Below are 20,291 nucleotides of genomic sequence, written 5' to 3' on the forward strand. Positions count from 1 at the left end.
CCCGTGGATTCTGATCTTGCAGCATTTCTAGCTCTGGGGCCACCGGGTTCTTGACTCCACTCTCCGGTTCTAACTTGAATCCCTGCCCCAGCCTCCCGCTCTCAGCACAGAGCACCTTCTCCATGTCATTCCCCTGCTTCAAAGCCTTCCTGGTCAGTGTCTTCAATTCCGAACAACTTTTGCATACGTGTCAAAACGACCCATGTGTTGCACACTGATCAGAAAATATCAGCGATGGCTCCTATCCCCGCAACAGGAAATGTTACACTGAGCACTACACTCAGATCTGCCAAATGTAGAAACTTGAATATCAAACAGGCATAGAAGCAGTCATATAATCTGCTCCTGTAACCTCAGTGAGGTCCTGTTCTCTGTCCTTTGTGGCTCCCTGCAAGCATCCTGCATGAAAGATCCACTCTAAAGCAGATGCTATAGGAGTTCTGTCAGCAAGCTGTCTACGGGGGCCACTGAGTCCTCTGTGAAGGATGGGGTGGGGTGGGGCGGAGGACCAAGCAGAGTCCTCCACTGACAGCTGTACTCCAGGGGTGGGCAACTGAGCATGCTGTGTCTTTACACCTCACTGTGCAATGGGGCAAGCACTTATACAACCCACATGTCCTGAATCCCACTATATCACCAATGAAAAATTGACATTGGAAGTACTTGCTAGAGCCTCCTGTGAGTGTTAATTCTTGAATGCTTGCTAACTGATCCTAAGCTGTGAAGCTAACTTCACACATAAACATGTCACAGGGTTCACAGTGGTCTATTCTGAAATATATGGCAAGCAATGCCATGCAATGATCTGGCCCTAGCCAACTTCTTCCAATTTATCTCCAGTTACTCCTTACATGTGCACCACCAAACTCAAGTGAAACTGTCCATGGTAGCCTCCAAAGAATCCAGAACTACTGAGGAGAAGGCACTAACACACACAGAAAGTTTAATAATAAAACAAATACTAGTGAATCATACAAATAGGGGTCAGATGATGGTGGAAGAGGTATCACTGCCCCAAACAAGTAACTTGAGTCTATCCTAGTTGTCAGGGATCATCCTTTCCTTTCTATTAAAAAAAAATTTAAATCACCCCCGCCCACATCTCCCACAGGACTGTGGGACATTCCGTGCCTTCCCCAGGACTTCCTGGTAATACCAAGTGACCCCCTCCCAACTCTCACTCTGAATTCCTGCCCTTATCACAACTCTCATCATCTGGAACTTCTCTCTCTCCCTCTCTCTCTCTCTTTCTCCCTCTTGTTTACTTGCTCACTTTTTCTTTCTTCTTCCTCCAGGGTGGACACAGCCTCTTCCCCTCTGTTCTCTAAGTACAACAAGCAGTGTGCTATTGGGCCCAAAATCTGTCACTGACAGTTTAGGATTACGAAGATCTGAGACTGAACGTTGGATTCAGTATTCCTGTGGTTCACAGGTTATGTCCGCTGCCAGGGACTCACACACTGGCCTCCTCTGTGTGGTGCCAGCCAGCCACCATATTGCTGGGACTCCTTATCTCCACAGGGAGGCTGCTGCCCTTCCACCTCACCAGGTCCCAGGGCCAGACCTTTGGTCTCTCCTGCTACCACAGAGAAAACAGAACGTTATGCAAACAACTGTCTGTCTCAACCTCTCCTATACAAGGCCCAGGTTAACCTTTGAATAACCAAAAAGCCATTAAGGGCTGGGCACAGTGCCTCTTGCCTGTAATCCCAGCACTTTGGGAATACGAGGCAGGAGGATTGCTTGAGCCCAGGAGTTTGAGACCAGCCAGGGCAACATAGCGAGACTTCATCTCTACTAGAAATAAAAAAAAGTTAGCTGGGCATGGTGACATGTGTCAGTAGTCCCAGCTGCGCAAGAGACTGGGGTGGGAGGATCGCTTAAGACCAGGAGTTTGAGGCTTCAGTGAGCAATGATAGTACCACTGCACTCCAGCCTGGTTGACAGAGTGAGACACTGTCTCAAAAAAAAAAAAATGCCATTAAGATGTTTCACGAACCCAAGAAATCTTTCCTCCCTAAAAGGAACTTTGCAACTCTCCCGGACCAGAATTTCTTCATTTCCCAAAGTGGGTCTGGGGCACTGCGTATTCCTAAAAGTGTGCTAGCTAATCATAATTTTAATATTATTTTGTTTTCATTGCAATATTCTAAAAATTCAAAATAAACTTATCATGATCATCTGGGTGATCTAGGACACTTTAGAAGCCATGTTGATGTTTCTACTTATGACCAGGTTGGCACAAGTGCCTGCCTAAAGCCCTTAACTAATAATGCAGGGTGGCCTCCCTTGATCCGAAAACCCCTGAAGGTCTGAAAGACTCGTCGCAGGATCTGAAGTAATTCATTTTCTTTTCTTTTTTTTTCTTTTTCTTTTTTTAGTTTTTTGAGACAGAATTTCACTCTGTCGCCCAGGCTGGAATGCAGTGGCGCAATGTCGGCTCACTGCAACCCCTGCTTCCTGGGTTCAAGCGATTCTCCTGCCTCAGCCTCCCGAGTAGCTGGGATTACAGGCGTGTGCCACCACAACTGGCTAATTTTTTGTATTTTTAGTAGAAACGGGGTTTCACTGTGTTAGCCAGGATGGTCTCCATCTCCTGACCTCCTGATCCGCCCACCTTGGCCTCCCAAAGTGCTGGGATTACAGGCGTGGGCCACCGCGCTGGGCCAGAATTCATTTTCTTTACAAGAACTGTACAGAACTTTCAGCAGAGCATTCACTAGAGTGAATATATATAGAAAGTGACTAAATATATATGCTGTATATATATATATTTTATATATATATACACACACATATAGTGTAGATACTATAGTGATTATATTCCCAGATCCTAAAATATGTGTGTGGATATATGTACACACACTGTATACTTGCTACAGTGAATATATATAGTGACTATATGACTGACACACACACACACACACACACAGACTATAGCTTTTTTTTTTTTTGAGACAGAGTCTCGCTCTGTCACCGAGGCTAGAGTGCAGTGGCATAATCTAGGCTCACTGCAACCTCCGCCTCCTGGATTCAAGCAATTCTCTGCCTCAGCCTTCCTGTAGCTGGAATTACAGGCACCCACCACCACGCCCAGCTAATTTTTGTATTTTTTTTTTCAGTAGAGATAGTTTCACGATCTTGGCCAGGCTGGTCTTGAACTCATGACCTCATGATCCACTCGCCTCGGCCTCCCAAAATGCTGGGATTACAGGCGTGAGCCACTGTACCCAGCCAAATATAGCTATTATAGTGAGTATATTCCCAGATTCAGAAGCCGGGCTCTATGATGTGTTTGTGTATGCTTATGGATATATAATATATCCAATACAGCACATATATTGTCACCATATGTAAGTGGGCACCTTCAGGATGCAGGAATAGCCCCCTGCCAGATTCACTTTCCTCCCTCTACACCACTGCTATTGCCTTTCTCCCAAGTTATCCCTCTCCATTCCCGTCTATCTGCTTATCTACAACTCAACTCATCTTCCACAAGCCACCTCGGCAAGATTTTCCAGTGTGAAATCTCCCCCTCAGGCTGGGGTGGCCTGTTCATCTTCTGATCATAGGTTACTGTCATTCCCCAAGGCAAGGAAAGGCAATTATACTGCATGGAACACACCTGGGAAGAGAGAGCAAGCTCAGCTCTGGATTCCTTAAATTGCCCCAAATACTTTGGCCTCATTTTTTCCTAGAACTTATTTTTCTGTATTACTTGTGTGTCATTTGGCTTATGCATTCATTAAAGAAACCTTGGATTCCTCTTGCATTTCACAAAAAGCCCATAAAAGGCATGTATTTGACTCTTTCTGAGCTGATTTTTTTTTAAATTCCATTTCTACTTACACATTGGGTATTTTCTCACACCCCCAAAGCGCTGATGCTTATGCTCGTTTGTAAAGGATGAGTGGAAGTTTGATAGGTGGACAGCAGGCAGAAAGGGTTGGCACTCCAGGCAAAAGGAACCACATGTGGAGAGGCACAGAGGTGTGGAACAGCGTATCTTTATTAGCTCCACGTGACTGGGCAAGACGCAGCAAGCTGGACGGTCTGAAGAAACCAAGCTGGCGAGGAAAGCAGGGTGTAAATTACAAAAGGCATGTTCCCATGCAAAGGAGCAACTTTTGTTATTGATGATGGGACCATCGGAAATATCTAAGCAAGGTAGTGACATGTTCATTATTTCCTTGGTGTTAGTAAGAAAGAGGGCTTGGAAGTGCACAAGAGTTATGGCATGGGGACATGGTCCAGAGACTCCCGTATTTCAATTTTTGTATCACCCCAGAATGCCTGCTCTTTTCCACCTTGGACTGGAGCTAGCTGGTTTAACACCTGTGTTGGGGGCTGCCTTTCACCTGGGTTTCTGGCTCATGTCCTCAGGGGCAAGGATCGTTCCTCAGGCTTTTATGGATCTCCTCCCCTGCACCAGCTCAGCACATCTCTGTACCTCATTTTTTGGTTGGTTGGTTGGTTTTGTTTTTAATGAATCACTCAGTCTGCTGAAAGTAGCTTTGATGACAGGTTTGGATGATTATATTAGATTTCTATTCTCACTCTCGTTATTTGTACCCAAACAGAGCCAAAGGTTAAAATCCCAGTACTACTATGGGTCTCTTAAGAGAGACCTTGGGAAATCATTGATTTCTCTAGACCATCATTTCCTCCCTAAAAGATGAGATGGTGTCCCCACCCCTTCAATGCCATTATGGAATCAGATAGACGGAGTACTGATTAGAAGGACATTACAGTCCAGTGTTGGAAATGGACCATTGATTTCTCACCCAAGAGATACTTTCTCTTCCCCTACTGCCACCCCAATTCCCCCAGGAAAATGTCAGTCTTTCTCCCAGAGCACTGCCTCTCTCCACCCCATCCCAAGCTTCATCATCTCCTTGACAGCCTAAAGACAGGTCAGAGGCTGCCATTTATCACCCAGGAATGTATGTCTGTGGTGTATCATATAGGGCCTTCTCCCCTCCCCGCTCACCTTCCTCCAACCCCAGTGCCCTGTATCATCCACCTGGGTCAGCAGCATCTTCGAATACCTGCTGTGTGATGTCAGTTCTTGCAAATTGACCTGAAGTGAGGCTGCAAGTCTTCTTTTCTGGGGTGTTGCCCATCACAGTTCTCTTCTTACTGTGGGGACCCAGCCCAGGGGCTGACCTGGACTTTCAGAGACCCTCCAGGGACAAATGCTGAGGGAGAGAGCACAGCACCACCTACAGGATCAGCTCTGGTCCAGCTGCATGTCCACATGAAACCATAATTTGCACCCACTGCCCATGACCCCTGGATAAAATGGGGCTGGGGGGCGGGGCATTGTATATTCCTACCACACCACCTCCCAGCACCCCGCACACTGCCTGCTACCCAAACACTGCTCAATTAATGTTTCTTAAACAAATAACTGCTGAACTATTTTTGACCTTGCCAATTTTTTGTGTTGTAATCACCCATTAGACTTGGCTTTGAAAAAAAATGAGTAATTAATAACAAATGTACTCCATGTAAGCAAAGGTACCAAACATGAGTTTCCATTAAAAAAGCTTACTTTCCATAACCACATTAGCATTTTATTAGCAAAAGAGTGTTTCAGTTAAAACTGGAATAACATTGAGATCATTTGTTGTCCAAGGATTTCTCAATTCCAGCTATCAGGCCTCCTCTGTAAACCTCAGAATTGCTATTTAAGCCTACAGAACTTTATGTTCTGATATTCTTAAGTGAAGAGTCCTTTTAAATGGCCAGTTGCTATTTAGAAAACTGTCTAAGCTGATTGGAGAGGTAATTATCTATTTTCCCTCAGTTTCACTGGAAGAAATGTGAATTTGTTGACCAATTATTGTTTACTATGGTAATAGGTACATATTTTCTATTATCTTCACTTGTTGCATATCACGTAAAACTTATAGTAAAGCACGGGCTTGTGTCTTAAAAATGGAACAGAGGAAGACATTTAGATGGGTTTGTGGTCTAAAAATAGTTAATTTAGGAGATCAGTTAATCAGCAAATACCTGTTAAGCATTTATGCAGAATACGAAAAAGTACAAGGTGAGGGTCCTGCCCTCAAATTTCTTATGGTCTTAGAGATGACACAGGACAATGACACTTTGCCATGAGCATGATTTCAAGAATCAAGACCAGGTCTTCTGATTCTCAGGCTCCATACACCAGGAGATACTTTTGTTTATTGTTTGTTTGTTTTTAAGATGGAGCCTCGCCCTGTTGCCCAGGCTGGAGTGTAGTGGTGCGACCTCAGCTCACTGCAACCTCTGCCTCCTGGGTTCAAGTGATTCTCCTGCCTCAGCCTCCCGAATAGCTGGGATTACAGGCGCCCACCACCACACCCGGCTAATATTTGTATTTTTAGTAGAGACGGGGTTTCACCATATTGGCCAGGTTGGTCTTGAACTCCTGACCTCAAGTGATCCCCTTGCCTAGGCCTCCCAAAGTGCTGGGATTACAGGTGTGAGCCACCACATCCGGACCCCAGAAGACACTTCTGGATGATGCTGGTGCAGTGATCAGAGATCTAGTCAAGTAAATGGATAGATATCAATACTACAATAGTTGATGTCAGGGACTGAATGTTTGTGTCCCTGTAAAATTCAAACCTTGAAATCTAAACCCCAATGTGATAGTATTAGGAAATGGGGCCTTGGGGAGATGATTAGGTCATGAGGGTGGAGCCCTCATGATGGGATTTGTGCCCTTTTAAGAAAAGACATGAGGCTGGGCACAGTGGCTCACTTCTGCAATCCCAACAGTTTGGGATACCGAGGCAGGCAGACAGCTTGAGCTCAGGAGTTCAAGATCAGCCTGGGCAATGTGGTGAAACCTCACCACTACAAAAAGCAAAAATTAGCCAGTGTGGTGGCCCATGACTGTAGTCCCAGCCACTCAGGAGTCTGAGATGGGAAGATTACTTGAGCCAAGGAGGTTGAGACTGCAGTGAGCTGTGATCATGCCATTGTACTCCAGCATGGGTCACAGAGCTGGTATGCCCATGCCAGGGCAAGACCCTGTCTCAAAAAAACAAAAGAAAAGGCATGAGAGACATGACTTTCTCTTCACCATGTGAGGACACAGCAAGAAGGTGCTGTCTGTGAACTAAGAGGCCAGCCCTCACCAGACACCGGATTTGCCAGTGCCTTGATCTTGGATTTTGCAGCCTCCAGAACTGTGAGAGTAAACGTTTGTGATTTAAGCCACCCAGTCTGTGGTATCTGCAGTCAGTTTCCTGACAATGAACACCTCTGCTGGAGAATATATGTAGAAAGAAAAGAGTGAAACTCAAATTCATCAGCTGAGCTGATGTTTTTATTTTTGCTTTTTCCAGTTTTCTTGCCACCATTAGCATCTCATCAGCTTGGAGATGATCTCAAGGTTTTTTCCAGATGGCTGGGTCTACCTAAATTTATTAATGCAAGTGGAAATGTGACTGTTGATCCTCAACCCAAACCCACAGAAACAGAAATGTGCAGCCAAATTGAGAGACTCCTGGCCAATCACCATTCAAGAAAAACAAGGCTGACTGTTTGGTAGGACAAAAAAGCCTTGGCCTCACTTGCTAAGGCTAAGGCTACTAGGAGGGCCAAGTTCAACAGCCCAGCTGCAGCCTCCTTTGCTCTGCCTCCTCCCCACCTTCTGACACAGCAAGAAACCTGGCCAACGGAGGGCGAGGGTCAGGGAGCTGTGAGCCGTGTTTAATTTGGCTTTTTGAACACATAGCACCCTGGTATCCTGCCATCTCTGGCCAGATTTAATTTAAAGCAAATCATCTTTTCCATTTCTCCCACCATCTCTGCATATGTCTTCTTCCTAAACATGTGGATTGATTATTTATAATAATGATCATAGTCAACATTTATGGAGCACTTAGCATACAACGGGCCCTACAACAAACCCTAGACTTAGATTATTGTGTTTGACTCTCACAACAACTCTTAACAAGGAGGTACTGCTATTGTCCCCATTTTTCCCATGATGAAACTGGGGCTCAGAAAACACGTAACACACTCAAGCTGGAAGTGGCAGATCAAGGAATTGCATTCAGATGGTCCAAGTTTAGAATCTGTGGCTTGCCCTCTGCAATTTTTAACACAATTGCTTGATTTATTCATTTCCTTTTCCCGCAAACTCTTATTGTGGAGTATTCAGTGCTGAACGTTTTGTCTGTCTCCTTGATTATGGAGCATGGTGGTCCCAGCTGAGCCTACATGACCACCAAATAGGGGACTGGGGAGCCCAGAAAGATTTATTTGCACAGCTGATCCACTTAGGCATTTCTAGATTTCACCTGAAAGAGAAGCAGGAACAGTTTAGGAGGCTCAGGGCAATGGGAAATGGAGGGGACTTTGTGCCTGTGTCCCAGTGTGGCTCAAGGACAGGAGGTGAATGAAGCAAGGAGTATGAAGCCTTCAGTCCAGCCTGTGGGGTTCTCGGGAGGGACTTTGTGAGGTTGGAGTTCAAACAATGCTGTTTCTGGGCCCACAAGACCAAATGAACCTACAGTTGGTGGAGAGCCTGTCCCTCATCTTCTACCTCCAGCAGATTGTGGACAGGGGCAGGGTTGTATTCAAAATATTTAATGCCCAGTATGACGTTAAAGCCAGCACTAAGCAGCTGTAACTAACGTACGCAGCTGTAAACAGCTGGTACGTCCATGCCAGAGTGTGGCTGCCGATCGTCTGCCCTGGACATGGGCACCCAGCAGTTCCTGGGGGAAAAGCAGCAGTGTCTGGATGATGTGAATTCGGGTGAGTACACCTGAGACAGCGATGGGAGGACACTGAGCGGGGGTCAGAACCCTCCAAATGAGTGTTGATGTGGATAGTTTTTCTGGACCTTCAGGCTGGTGATACCTGGGAATATTTGGATTATAATTAGAAAGCTGAATTAAACAACCATCTCCTGAGGTTATGGGAGAAAAACTGGTTTTCTAATTGGTCACTTTCCAAACTAGTTTTGTGCAGTCGCTCACCCCGAACCGCCCCCACTTACATACTCACATCTCTTCCCAGCCCCCACACATGAGTCTGTGTCTTACTTTCCCTAGATGTTCACGAATGATGGCAAGTGTAAATAGGGTGCAGTTTCAGCCTCACTCAGTTTCCTCCATGTGATAAGATGCCTTTGCTTTGTCTACATTTCAGACACTGTTCAACAGGAGAGAACCCAGTGATCTGGAGGCAGTATGATGGCTGGGTGCCTGGGACCAGGCCAGTCCCTGGGTGTTGGCTGCTCATCTCTTTCTCACTGTAAAACGAAACTCATTCCATTTTAAATTTGATCTCGGCAGGTTTTTTTTTTTTTCTTTTACCACCTGGTCTACCATCCAGGACACAGCTGTGAATTGGCTGTTTGATGATTTTTTTAAAACTATTCTTTTGAAACTCTTCTTCTTGGCCTCCCAAAGCCAATAGATCCATGCAGACGGGCAAAGATAATGAAATTGTATCATTTGATCACTCTCATTGCCCAATACCCCGAGGTTTTGCCCAAACCTCAGGGTGTTTGCTCTTGAAGAGAACGCTCCTCTCCTTTATCAACATTCTGAAGCCAAACTACAACTTATCTCTCAGGTATCTGAAAGTCATCTGCTCAGAGGAGAGGGATTGGGGAGTTGGACAAAGCAGTTATTCTACCTTTAGAAAGAACTCTCCACAGCTCTGGACATCTGAGTCTGTTGCATTGAAGGGAAGTGGCCAGGGCAATGGGTAAGGAGTGCAATGGGATCTCTTATTCCCCACTGGGAACAAGCAAAGGGAATGTTCATTTTGGATTACGTGTCTACAGGGTGTGGCGTTATTCCATCACCCTTCCTCCTCTCCCCTGCTACAGAATACAGCACAGCTGTGTCTGTTTCTAATCAGACAAGGGCACCCTTTCCCTCTGTGCTGCAGGAATTGACTTGGCAGGAGACCTTCCCAGGCCAGGGGAGACGCAGGACACTCACTGCGAATTTCTGAAGGGCTGCCTGAAAAAGGGGCCCGAACACCACCCAAACCTGGAGCGTCCTGCTTCCAGAGCTGTGACAAGGGACTAGAGGACTGCAAGAACCCCTTACTCAGTGGCCTCAAACCTGCTGAGTATGAAGACAGCCCAGGAGACTATTAGAATGCAGATTCCTAGGTCCTGCCTCAGGGCTTTCAACCGAGTATGTCTGAGAAGGAGCCCAGGATCTGAATTCTTAACAAATCTTACCGAAGGAATTCTCATAGACGATCAGAAGATTGGAAATAGTAATATAGTCCAACGTTTCTCAGCCACTGTGGCCCCTTTCAAATACTCTCCAGAGAGAAGGACAACATGAGATTTTTCGGAAAAGCTCCCAGTGATGCTTAAACCTTCCCTCACCCCCTCCCTTCCTGCTACTGGACTCAGGGATCAAGAAAGAGAATGTTGGTGGGGCATGGTGGCTCACTTCTGTAACCCCAGCACTTTGGGAGGCCAAGGGGAAGATGCTTGAGGCCAGGAGTTCAAGACCAGCCTGGGCAACATAGCAAGACCCCATCTCTACTAAAAAGGTAAAAAATTAAAAGAGTCCACTGGTGCACACCTGTAGTCCCAGATACTAGTGAGGCTAGGGCAGGAGGATTGTGTGAGTCCCCACGTTTGAGGCTGTCCTGAGCTATGATGACACCACTGTACTCCCCTCTCTGGGCACCAGAGTAAGACCCTGTCAAAGAAAAGAAAGAAAAGGAAGGAAGAGGAAGAAAGAAAAGAAAGAGAATGTTGGCAGATGTGGCCCTGAGGCCACACAGGCTGGAGATCCACACTCAGTGCTCCCCAAGCCAAAGCTGGGACCAGCCTCCGGGGCTGTTCATGGTCTAGCAGTCCACAAGGCAGACTGAGGTTAGAGGCAGGCCCTGGGGCAAGGGGAGGCTGAGGGAAGCACCCAGCCCCACCCTGCACAGACCTGCAGTGGAGATGCACTCTGATCAAACTAGGGGGCGAAGGATGGCAGGCAGGGGGTTGTAAGGACAGTGATGACCAGTCCTGATGCCTGCACAGTGCACACCAGCACCAGCCCTCACCAATAGCAGGAAACAACACTGAGCTCCCCTCCAAGCGTGTCCATGATGTGGCTGGTCTGGGAAGCGGAGGTTTCCCAGAGCAATGTCCAGAGCGTGGAGCAGAGACTCGCTCTGGAGGAAGCCAGGGGAGCAGCCTCCTCCCTAGAGCTTTGGAAGAGCCTGGGTTAAAGGTTAGCTGGGTGCTCAGAGGGCAAGGAAATGCAAAGAGAAGCGGAGCCGCCTGGAAGGGTGGGTCTTGGGAGCTCAGCTGAGCTCATTAACTTTTAAAGCTGTTCTTGCCCCTCATCCCTCACAGCACCTTTCCCCAGGCAGCCTGAATTGCACAGCCCTGCCCGGAAGCTGCTGCTGCTGCTTCAGTGACTCTGGCACCCTGAGAAGCCTGCGTCACCCTTAACCCAGTAATAACTGGGCTATTCAACCTGTCAGTCCTTCCCAGAACCCAGCAGTCCCCCAACGCCTGAGAAAGGAAATGCAGCCTCCAAAGGCACCAGGCCCACTACTGGGAAAATTCTTAAGACACTGACATTTTAAGTTAAGCCCATGGAAGGGGAAAACTCAAGAGAGCTCATTAAACCTCCCAGGTAAAAATGCTGTAATGGAAAAGGCTGGGAAACTGACAAGCAAAAAAGTGTGACCCTTTCTCGGGTTTGACGCCCAGTCTCTGGCCAGCCTGGCCCTGACCTCCCACCCCCTGGGGTCCTGTCCACCAAGGAGTCAGAGTCAGCACTGGCCTGGCTGGGCCTTCTAAGTGCAAAGGAGGCTGTTCCAGGCTCCCTTGGGGTATAAAACATTTACAAGTTGGCAAATTGTGGTTACACAGATTTGTTATTTAAGCCAGTTAGACATGGTTCGGCCCCATGATCAGCCTTTCCAGTTCCTCTTTGTTTCTTTGTTCTGTCAGCCCTTGGCAGTGCGGAGTGACAGAAATAACCCTGACCTCCCACTTCAGCTGCTAGGAAGCTGTCTGGGGCCAGGCACAGTGGCTCACACTTCTAATCCCGGCACTTTTGGGAGGCTGAGGCAGGAGGATCTCTTGAGCCCAGGAGTTGTAGTTTATAGCGAGCTATGATCACGCCACTGCATGCCAGCCTGGGTGACAGAGCAAGACCCTGTCTCTAGAAAAAAAAAAAAAGAAGCCGTGCAATCTGGGCACCTCAGGCACTCTCCATCAAATGCATACATTTCCACTCGGAAACGTGTTATCCCTTCCGGCTTCAACATTCAGCAGCTGAACACAGGAGAGAAGCAGAGTTGAGGCTGCAGGTAGGTTTTCAGCATAGGCCAGTTCTGCTCCTGGAAATCAGCTTTCAGCATCTCAACTGCTTCCCAACCCACCTTTTCTAAGCTTTCGTGGTTACTTCCACAAAACTAGGCATTACTATTGCTTTGAGATTTTTGTGAGAGTCAGACAAAGGTTTGTATTTACCAGAGTTCTTGGCTGCAGGCAGCTGGAATCAATACTAGCTAGTTAAAGCAGAAAGAGTAATTTATTAAGAGGTCTAGACAACCCATAGAATTTTCAGGAAGGCTAAACACAAAACAGACCATAGGCGTAGCTTCTGGAAGATGGCTCCTCTTCCAGTATCACTGGGACCTCACTGCTTCTGCAGTTATAGGCCACGAGAGTTGCACAAAAACGAAAAACTAAGTTCTTTCCCAAGCCACCACTACTGGAGGCTTCATGTCAACCTAAGCTAAAAATATTCCTAATTAATTAACAGCATATTTGACTTCCCAAACCCTAAGACTTCCCAAACCCTAAGAATGTATTTCTTCTCATTTTCCATGGGAATTCAAACTCATCTCTTCATTCATTTAATATGTATTGATTGAATGTCTTCTGTGTGTTATGCTCTACAAATTTGATCAATAAGACTGAGCCATGCTCTCAGCAGCTAAAAGACCCAGTGAAGAATCACAGCCCTCAGAGGTAAGTGCCTCATAGAGATTATCCCAATATGCCACGGGAGCACTTACATTAGAGCACCTTACCCAGCTGGGCAAGGGACGGGTAAGCTTCCCAAAGAAGCCGCCTCCCAGCTGAGCCCTAAAGGAAAAAGAGAGTTGCCAACTGGCACACACGATATAAGCCCAGGAGCAGCACATGCAAAAATTTGGGGATGCACAGAGCTGATGCCTTCAGAGAGCTGTAAGAAGCAACTATTTGAGAAGAGATTGGAGATCAGGCCAAACAAAGGCCTGATCGCTGGAGGCCCTGTACAGCCATGTGAAGAAATTTGGATTTTATCTTCAGGATAGTGAGGAACCGTTGTATGATATATTTAAACAATTGATCAGATTTGCAATTTAGAAAGCCCCATCAGGGCCAGGTGAGGTGGCTTACCTGAGGCTGGGGTAGGAGAATCACTTGAGGCCAGGAGGCCAGGACCAGCCTGGGCAACATAGCATGACTATCTCTACAAAGAAATTTTTTAAAATTAGCCAGGCATGAGGGTGCATGCCTGTAGTCCCAACTACTCAGGAGACTAAGGCAAGAGGATGGCTTGAGCCCAGGAGCTGGAAGCTGCAGTGAGTTATGATAGCACCACTGCACTCCAGCCTGGGTGACAGAGGGAGACCCTGTCTCAAAAACAAAAACAAAGAAAGAAAGCCCTATCAGGCTGCACAGTGCTTGGTGGAGGGGAAAGTCACTGTCATGGTGACTTAGTGGAGAGAGGGGTGCTGTAGGGAGTAGACATGGGGCTGGTTTCCATGTGAAGGCTGTAATCGACATGACATGGGGAAGGATGAAGGGTGGAGGTGTGGAGAAGATGTCAGTCTCTGAGAGAGGCAGGTCTGGGGAAGAATGATTAGTTCAGTCACATGCATTTCTTGGGTTTAATTCCAACAACTCAGTGTGGGATTTTGTTTTTGTTTTTGTTTCATTTTGTTTTGTTTTTTCAGACAGAGTCTTACTTACCCTGTTACCCAGGCTGTAGTACAGTGGTGCAATCTCAGCTCACGGCAGCCTCAACCTCCTGGGTTCAAGGGATCCTCCTACCTCAGCCTCCGGAGTAGCTGGGACTACAGGTGCATGCCACAACACCCAGCTATTTTTTTCTTTTACAGACGGGGTCTTGCTATGTTGACCAGGCTGGTCTCAAACTCCTGGGCTCAGGTAATCCTCCTGAGATTGAGAGTTAGGCGTGAGCCACCTAACCCAGCCTCCAGTGTGGGATTTTCTGTGAGGAGTAAACACATTCATGAGTGTGGGCTTCGTGGCCCCTCTGAGTGGGATGTCTTCATGTCACTGCCTAGAGATAATAATAATTGCTCTGGCTCCTGGAAGCCGCTTTGCTTACTTATTGGTGTCTTGGTTGGTTACCAGATCAGTAGTACCCTGTGGATAAGAGCCTATGCCACTGTGCAGTATTTTCATGGTTTAAAAAACATTTTGACACATTGTTTAAACAAAGATTACCACAGAAAACAGGGTGAGATTAAAATCCTGGCAACTGGAGTCAGACTCCGGAGTTAGATGGAAAAACTGTACTGCTCCATTCCCCAAACATGGATGTAAGATGGGGCTGGCTGATCAGGCACAACTGCAGCAGGTGGGAGCTGCTCCTGGTGACCCCCACCCCACCTCCCCCAACCACATCTGCAGGGACAGGCATTCTCTTCCAAGAATAATGCCATGCTATGCTACTAGAAGAATGAGTGAGTATTCAGGGGACCCTGAATCTCTACAAAAATACAGAAATTAGCCAGACATGTTGGTATATGACTGTAGTCCCAGCTACTTGGGAGGCTGAGGCAGGAGGATCACTTGAGCCCAGGAGTTTGAGGCTGCAGTGAGCCATGATTGTACCACTGCACTCTAGCCTGGGCAACAGAGTGAGATCCTGTCTCTAAAAAAAATACAAAAAAGAATGAGTATTTAGTGGTAGAGTTTCGAAGGACAAAAGCACAGTTAAAAAAAGACTTAAGTTCTCTGGGCCAAGAGAAAGTAGCAAATGATGGGCACCGCTCTCTTTAAAGTACACTTTCCTGACTCAGCTGTCCTCTTTTCCTCCTCCATTCCCACCAATTCTGGGCTACAGGCTTTTCCTCTACTCTCCCACAGCATCCTCCCTGAGCCCTCAATCAAAGCACCTACAATACTGCCCTCATAGGGAGGTGCTATCTTTCTGTCTTTCCCTGAGCGCTGGGACCCATTGCATTTCACCCATTTATCCCCAAGGCCTAGCACATGTCTAGCACAACACAGCAATTAAATAAACCCTGTGGAATAAATTAATTGTGGAATAGCCTGGTTTCCATGGATGGTTATACAGGTTGTGCACTGCACAACCATGTGCAACATTCCTGGAAAAAGACAGAAATTTATTGATTGGTTGGGGGTTTTGAATAGCCAAGGAAAACTATTTGACCATTGCATGCCCTCTACCTGGGAAAATCACATACCCTAACAACTTCTTAGGCCTTACTGCATGGTCACATGGGGTAACATTCATACAGTTTCTCCAGCTCTCTAGTCTGCCCACAAAGGTGATATTGTTCAAAGGGGCAATCTTTCCTTGCCTTCCACCAGTCTATTCTTAACTTGACCCAGGTAATCTCTTTCACTGCTTACCAAAGATATTTCAGCTCCAGCTATCCTGTTTGCAGAATGGTGACGTATTCCATTAGGCAGGCAGGGCCTAACAAATATCCTCTCTGAAGCCATCAGAAATTGTGTCACTTAAACCTGGGCCTGGCAAGAGCCCCAGGCCCCAGCATGTCTCAGAATGCCCAGCACTTGCTGTCTGCCATGTCTCAGAACACCCACCATCAGGACCAGCCAGGAAGAAGGAAGAGCTTTCATCACAAGCACACTGCGACAGGGGGCCTACATTGAGTTCCCCTCAAGAACCATCCAGTGGCACAAGCTTCATGGAGACTAAGGGATTTTTCTAGGGTAACTGGTTTTCCAACCATATTACTCAGGTCATGAGAGAATCACAGGTGTTAGGTCTGGATGCACGCTTAGAAACCATCTGGCATCCCCCTCGCTTTACAGATGAGGATGCAGAAGCTCAGGGACACAGCCAAAGCTCAACCATCCATGGAAGTGATGGGCACAGAGAGTCAGAAAGATGAAAGCTCATGAGGGCCTGTCACCACCAACTCTTCCCACCAGACCTGTGCAGAGGAATCTAACTTAGAAGTTAAACCTTTTGGAGAATCCCTCCTACTCACTCTCTACAGCCCCTCCACATCGTGCAGGCAGGCTGTGTGCTGTTAGAACACGGCATTCTTACTCAGAACTCCAGGCCTTTGCTTCTGCCATTCCTCCCACCAGGAATGCCTTTTCCTTCCTCTCTAGCCATATCTTATGTTTCCTTCAGGGACCAGCTCCAGTGCCATCTTTGAGAGGGACCTCCCTTCTTTCTATTCTACAGAGTAAATGATTCCCTCCTTCACACTCCTCTGACGGTGAGAAACTTCCTTTAGGAAGGTGATCGAGTTGTTTTTCTGCCTGGATCACTTTCGTGCTCATCACCCTCAGATTTCAAGCCATTTATCTCTTCTTTGTCCTTCTGGGACTGACTCAGATGCCACCTCCTTCAAGTAGACTTCCCCGACTGGCTCCCCTCCCATTTTGCCTTCCAATGATCCTGCTTATTTCCTTCATTGTGTTCATCACCAGCTGTAATTTTACATTTGCTCTTACTTATTTGCTTATTAAAAAGTATTTATTGCACTCTTGCTACATTTCAGTCACTTTCAGATGCAATGATAACAGGAAAGATGGGATGCATGCTCTCAGGATGTTACATCCTGGTACAGTTGAGACAAGAAACAGGAAACACCACAGACACTATGATGAACAATTGCAGACGGTGCCGGGTGACAGATGAGGCAGTAAATCCAGGCGAGGGGTGAGGGCAGCTTGGCCAAGGTCCATACCACTACTTAGTGCCTGGAAAGCATGCTCCATAAGGACGGGGACTCTGTACCTGGGCTGCTAGGGCACCCGAGGGGCCACAGGCAGGCAATGCACATTCACTGAAGATGTCAGTGGGTATTCCTTTCTCATCCGCCCAGCACCAGACCCTGAGCCCCTCAAGGGAAGAGATTACTTATAATTTATCTCTGTATGTCCTATACCTGACCCATAGCAATATGAGTGTGTCCCCCCAAAAGACCCATTCTCCATCTCATCTTCAGGGAACATAAAGCAGATCAGAGAAGGTAAGCCGCCTTCCTCCTCTCATTCAATGCAAGAAATGATGCACAGCTGCTTTATCTATGGAATGTGACAAATGACCTTGTATTTATTCTACTTGGCTTAGCTCATCAGTGCTTTGCCAACTGTGTATTGTGGCTCATTTATCCATCTGATACACCTTTATTGGATGTGCACAGATGTCAGTGGCACTGTGGATCACCATAACTCCTCAAGTGGGAGCTGCCCCAGCCTCCCTCCAAACCGAGCTCCCCCCTCCCCGCTCCACCCCATCCCGCTCCCTGAAATCTGATCCCTCCCTGGAAGCACACAGGAATCTTTCCTGTCTGGGAGACCACAGTATCCCCAGTCCCTAACACAGTGCCATGCTTACAGCAGGGGCTTAGTCAATGTTTTGCAGATAAATGGGGCCCTGCTGGGGACTCAGGGGTGGGGTGCAAAGATGCATCACATTGGTGGTGCAACAGGATTTGTTTGAAAGGCAGGGATAGGCTGGGCGCGGTGGCTCACGGTTGTAATCTCAGCACTTTGGGAGGCTGAGGCAGGCCGATCTCCTGAGGCCAGGAATTCGAGACCAGCCTGGCACAGTGAAACCTCGTCTCTACTAAAAATACAAAAATTAGCTGGGTGTGGTGGCGGGTGCCTGTAATCCCAGCTACTCGGGAGGCTGAGGCAGGAGAATCGATTGAACCTGCGAGGCAGAGGTTGCAGTGAGCCAAGATCACGCCACTGCACTCTAGCCTAGCCTGGGCAACAGAGCTAGACTCCATCTCAAAACAAAAAAAGCAGGGATTTCTGAGTCTATTTAGACTGGAGCACCAACCACATGCTTTTGGGCAGTCACTTGGAGCCCTTGTCTATCACTATAACAGGATGCTGCTTTCCACGCAGGATCCATGCCCTTTAATCAGAACTGCATATGGGAAAGCTCAGCAAAGCCATATGGCCATATACACAGAAATGACGGTGATAGTATCCCTATGACTGAGAGCATGGCAAGAAGAAACTGGAGGAGTTTCCAGGTTTCTCGGGGATGGGATTCCCACTCATGGTTTAAGGCACAGAATCAACGTTGTCTCTCTAGGAAGCCTCCCCATCTACTGGAGCCCCTGGGGTGCATCACCGAGTCACAGCACCCGCTGCTTCACTGCTGTTATCTGCTGCTTGTCTGACTCCCCCACTACTCCGAGGGGTCACTCAGGACCAGAATGGTGTCTTATTTATTTTGAAACCTCGGCTCATAACAGAAGGCCCTGGCACATAGAAAATGTTGTATAAACTTTTGCTGAACTGAATTCTTATTCCAACCTTCTCTCAGATTTATTAAAGACACAAAAGGCACGTCTGTAGACTGAAGACGTTTTTGGCTTCGCACCCAGCTCTTGGTCTAACTCAGTGTGTGCGGCCAGGATCCGTAATGATGTGTTATGGAGACGAGTAACGTTGTTGGATACTGAGCAGTGCGTTCAGGCCGCATTCCTGTGGGCACGCGCTCAAGTCCATCATCCCTCAGCAGAGGCCGCGTATCACACTGGAACACACACAGCCTCTGCAACCAGACCCCGGGCCAACGTGTGGCACCCAAGTGTGAACAGTGGGGTCCTTCAGTGAGGTACTTAAACTCTCTGTGCCTCAGTTTCTCTTCTGTGAAATAGAATGGTAATAATGCCTGGCATCTGGGGTCATTGGGGGGATTAAATGAGCTAATACATGCAAAGAACTGAGAAAGCATTGACACATGACAAATGCCGTGTGGATGTCAGCTATTGTTCCTACTGAGGCAGGACACACAGTGGCCTGGTGGGAGGGGCGGGGTTTGATGTTGCAGGTATTACTGGAAGCCTTCTCCTTGCCCGACTTCCCCAGATATTTCTTCCACATCCTCACCTTGGTGGCTTTTGTGATAAAAAAAAAAAAAAAAAAAAAAAAAAAGATGGCAGTAGACATAATGCCTCCCAGGATTCTGTATCCCCATCCCCAACCATCCCCAGTCCTTATCTGGGTGGTCAGGACCACGGCTTCTGGGGTGCATCCCTGTCACTCAGCTGGACTCCAACTCCTTGGTCACCAGCACAGAGCCTAGTGCCAGGTCAATACTTAGAATATGGTATGTGGATAGGCTGCTCCTTGTTGCTAGACTGGCTGGGGCTGTAAGTTCTATATAAAAGAGTTCTCCATGAGGAAAAGAGTAAAATGCATAATTGTGGATCTGAATTCATCCAAGGCAATTATGGTGAAGCCACCCCTCTGGCCAGTGACCTGTATGTGCCCGCAGCTGGTTTAAGGGTAGAAATGTGGCCCAGCTCTGTTGGCTGTGACAGGAAAGGGAGAAGTCTCCCAAGAGGCATCTGAGGAAGATCTCTTTGGTCTAAATTTAAAAAGAAAAAAAAATGCTTGGCAGGAAATCATCGCCTTCTTCTACTGAACGTTCTTGTAGAATAAGGGGTCCTGACACTGTGGCATTTACCCTACGACCATGCAGTGGGCCTATGACAAAGATGCAGGATGAAGATGGGGCTCAACAATATGGTGGAGCCTCGAAGCCAACCAGCGCGCAAGCTCTCTCGCCACATGTTCTTGGAGATGGTATTTTCACCTCCTTGGCTGAGCTCTTGGGGGTTGCTTTTTCTGTTATGGGACCAGTTAGGATGCATTTGGCTGATAGTCACCAAAAAACCAACTAGCCGATGATTTAAATCAGGAGATGGCAAGCTTTTTCTGCAAAGGGCTAGAACATAAATATTTGAGGCTTTGTGGGCCACACAGCCTCTGTCACAACAACTCATGCCTGTCCCTGAAGCTCAAAAACACCACTGGTGAAATGTAAGCACAAGGCTAGCTGTGTGCCAATAAAACACAATTCGCAAAACCAGGCTGGTTTTGGCCCACATGGTTTAAGCCATGAAAACATTCATCGTTTACTTAATTAAAATCCCTGGCAAGATCCCAGGCCTGGCTGGGTAACTGTGACGTGGGCACCTCTGCAGTTTCCCATCCTTCCTCCCCAGGCTCCAAGGTGGAATGGACAGGAGGCCGAGAGGGGTCCCGATGTCCTCCTCACTGCCCGGCACACTGG

The 20,291-nt window shown here is 47.4% G+C and overlaps 1 long non-coding RNA gene across 3 annotated transcripts in view, besides 4 other annotated features; it reads right to left on the reverse strand.

Moving 5' to 3' along the window:
* The window catches only part of LINC02815 (long intergenic non-protein coding RNA 2815), a 67,626-nt gene that overhangs the window by 10,578 nt on the left and 36,757 nt on the right, over positions 1-20,291 (reverse strand). The window lies entirely within an intron of this gene.
* Positions 10,567-11,090: an enhancer, noted in NCBI's record as "H3K27ac-H3K4me1 hESC enhancer chr1:229243991-229244514 (GRCh37/hg19 assembly coordinates)". NCBI's record gives its function as "activates a minimal SCP1, AML or CMV promoter by ChIP-STARR-seq in naive H9 embryonic stem cells {active_cell/tissue: H9 hESC(naive)}" and the evidence as "EXISTENCE:reporter gene assay evidence [ECO:0000049][PMID:30033119]".
* Positions 11,091-11,612: an enhancer, noted in NCBI's record as "H3K4me1 hESC enhancer chr1:229244515-229245036 (GRCh37/hg19 assembly coordinates)". NCBI's record gives its function as "activates a minimal SCP1, AML or CMV promoter by ChIP-STARR-seq in naive H9 embryonic stem cells {active_cell/tissue: H9 hESC(naive)}" and the evidence as "EXISTENCE:reporter gene assay evidence [ECO:0000049][PMID:30033119]".
* Positions 18,229-18,730: an enhancer, noted in NCBI's record as "H3K4me1 hESC enhancer chr1:229251653-229252154 (GRCh37/hg19 assembly coordinates)". NCBI's record gives its function as "activates a minimal SCP1, AML or CMV promoter by ChIP-STARR-seq in primed H9 embryonic stem cells {active_cell/tissue: H9 hESC(primed)}" and the evidence as "EXISTENCE:reporter gene assay evidence [ECO:0000049][PMID:30033119]".
* Positions 18,731-19,230: an enhancer, noted in NCBI's record as "H3K4me1 hESC enhancer chr1:229252155-229252654 (GRCh37/hg19 assembly coordinates)". NCBI's record gives its function as "activates a minimal SCP1, AML or CMV promoter by ChIP-STARR-seq in primed H9 embryonic stem cells {active_cell/tissue: H9 hESC(primed)}" and the evidence as "EXISTENCE:reporter gene assay evidence [ECO:0000049][PMID:30033119]".

This window comes from Homo sapiens, chromosome 1 (assembly GCF_000001405.40).
Source record: "Homo sapiens chromosome 1, GRCh38.p14 Primary Assembly".
In the NCBI taxonomy this organism is placed as follows: Eukaryota; Metazoa; Chordata; class Mammalia; order Primates; family Hominidae; genus Homo; species Homo sapiens.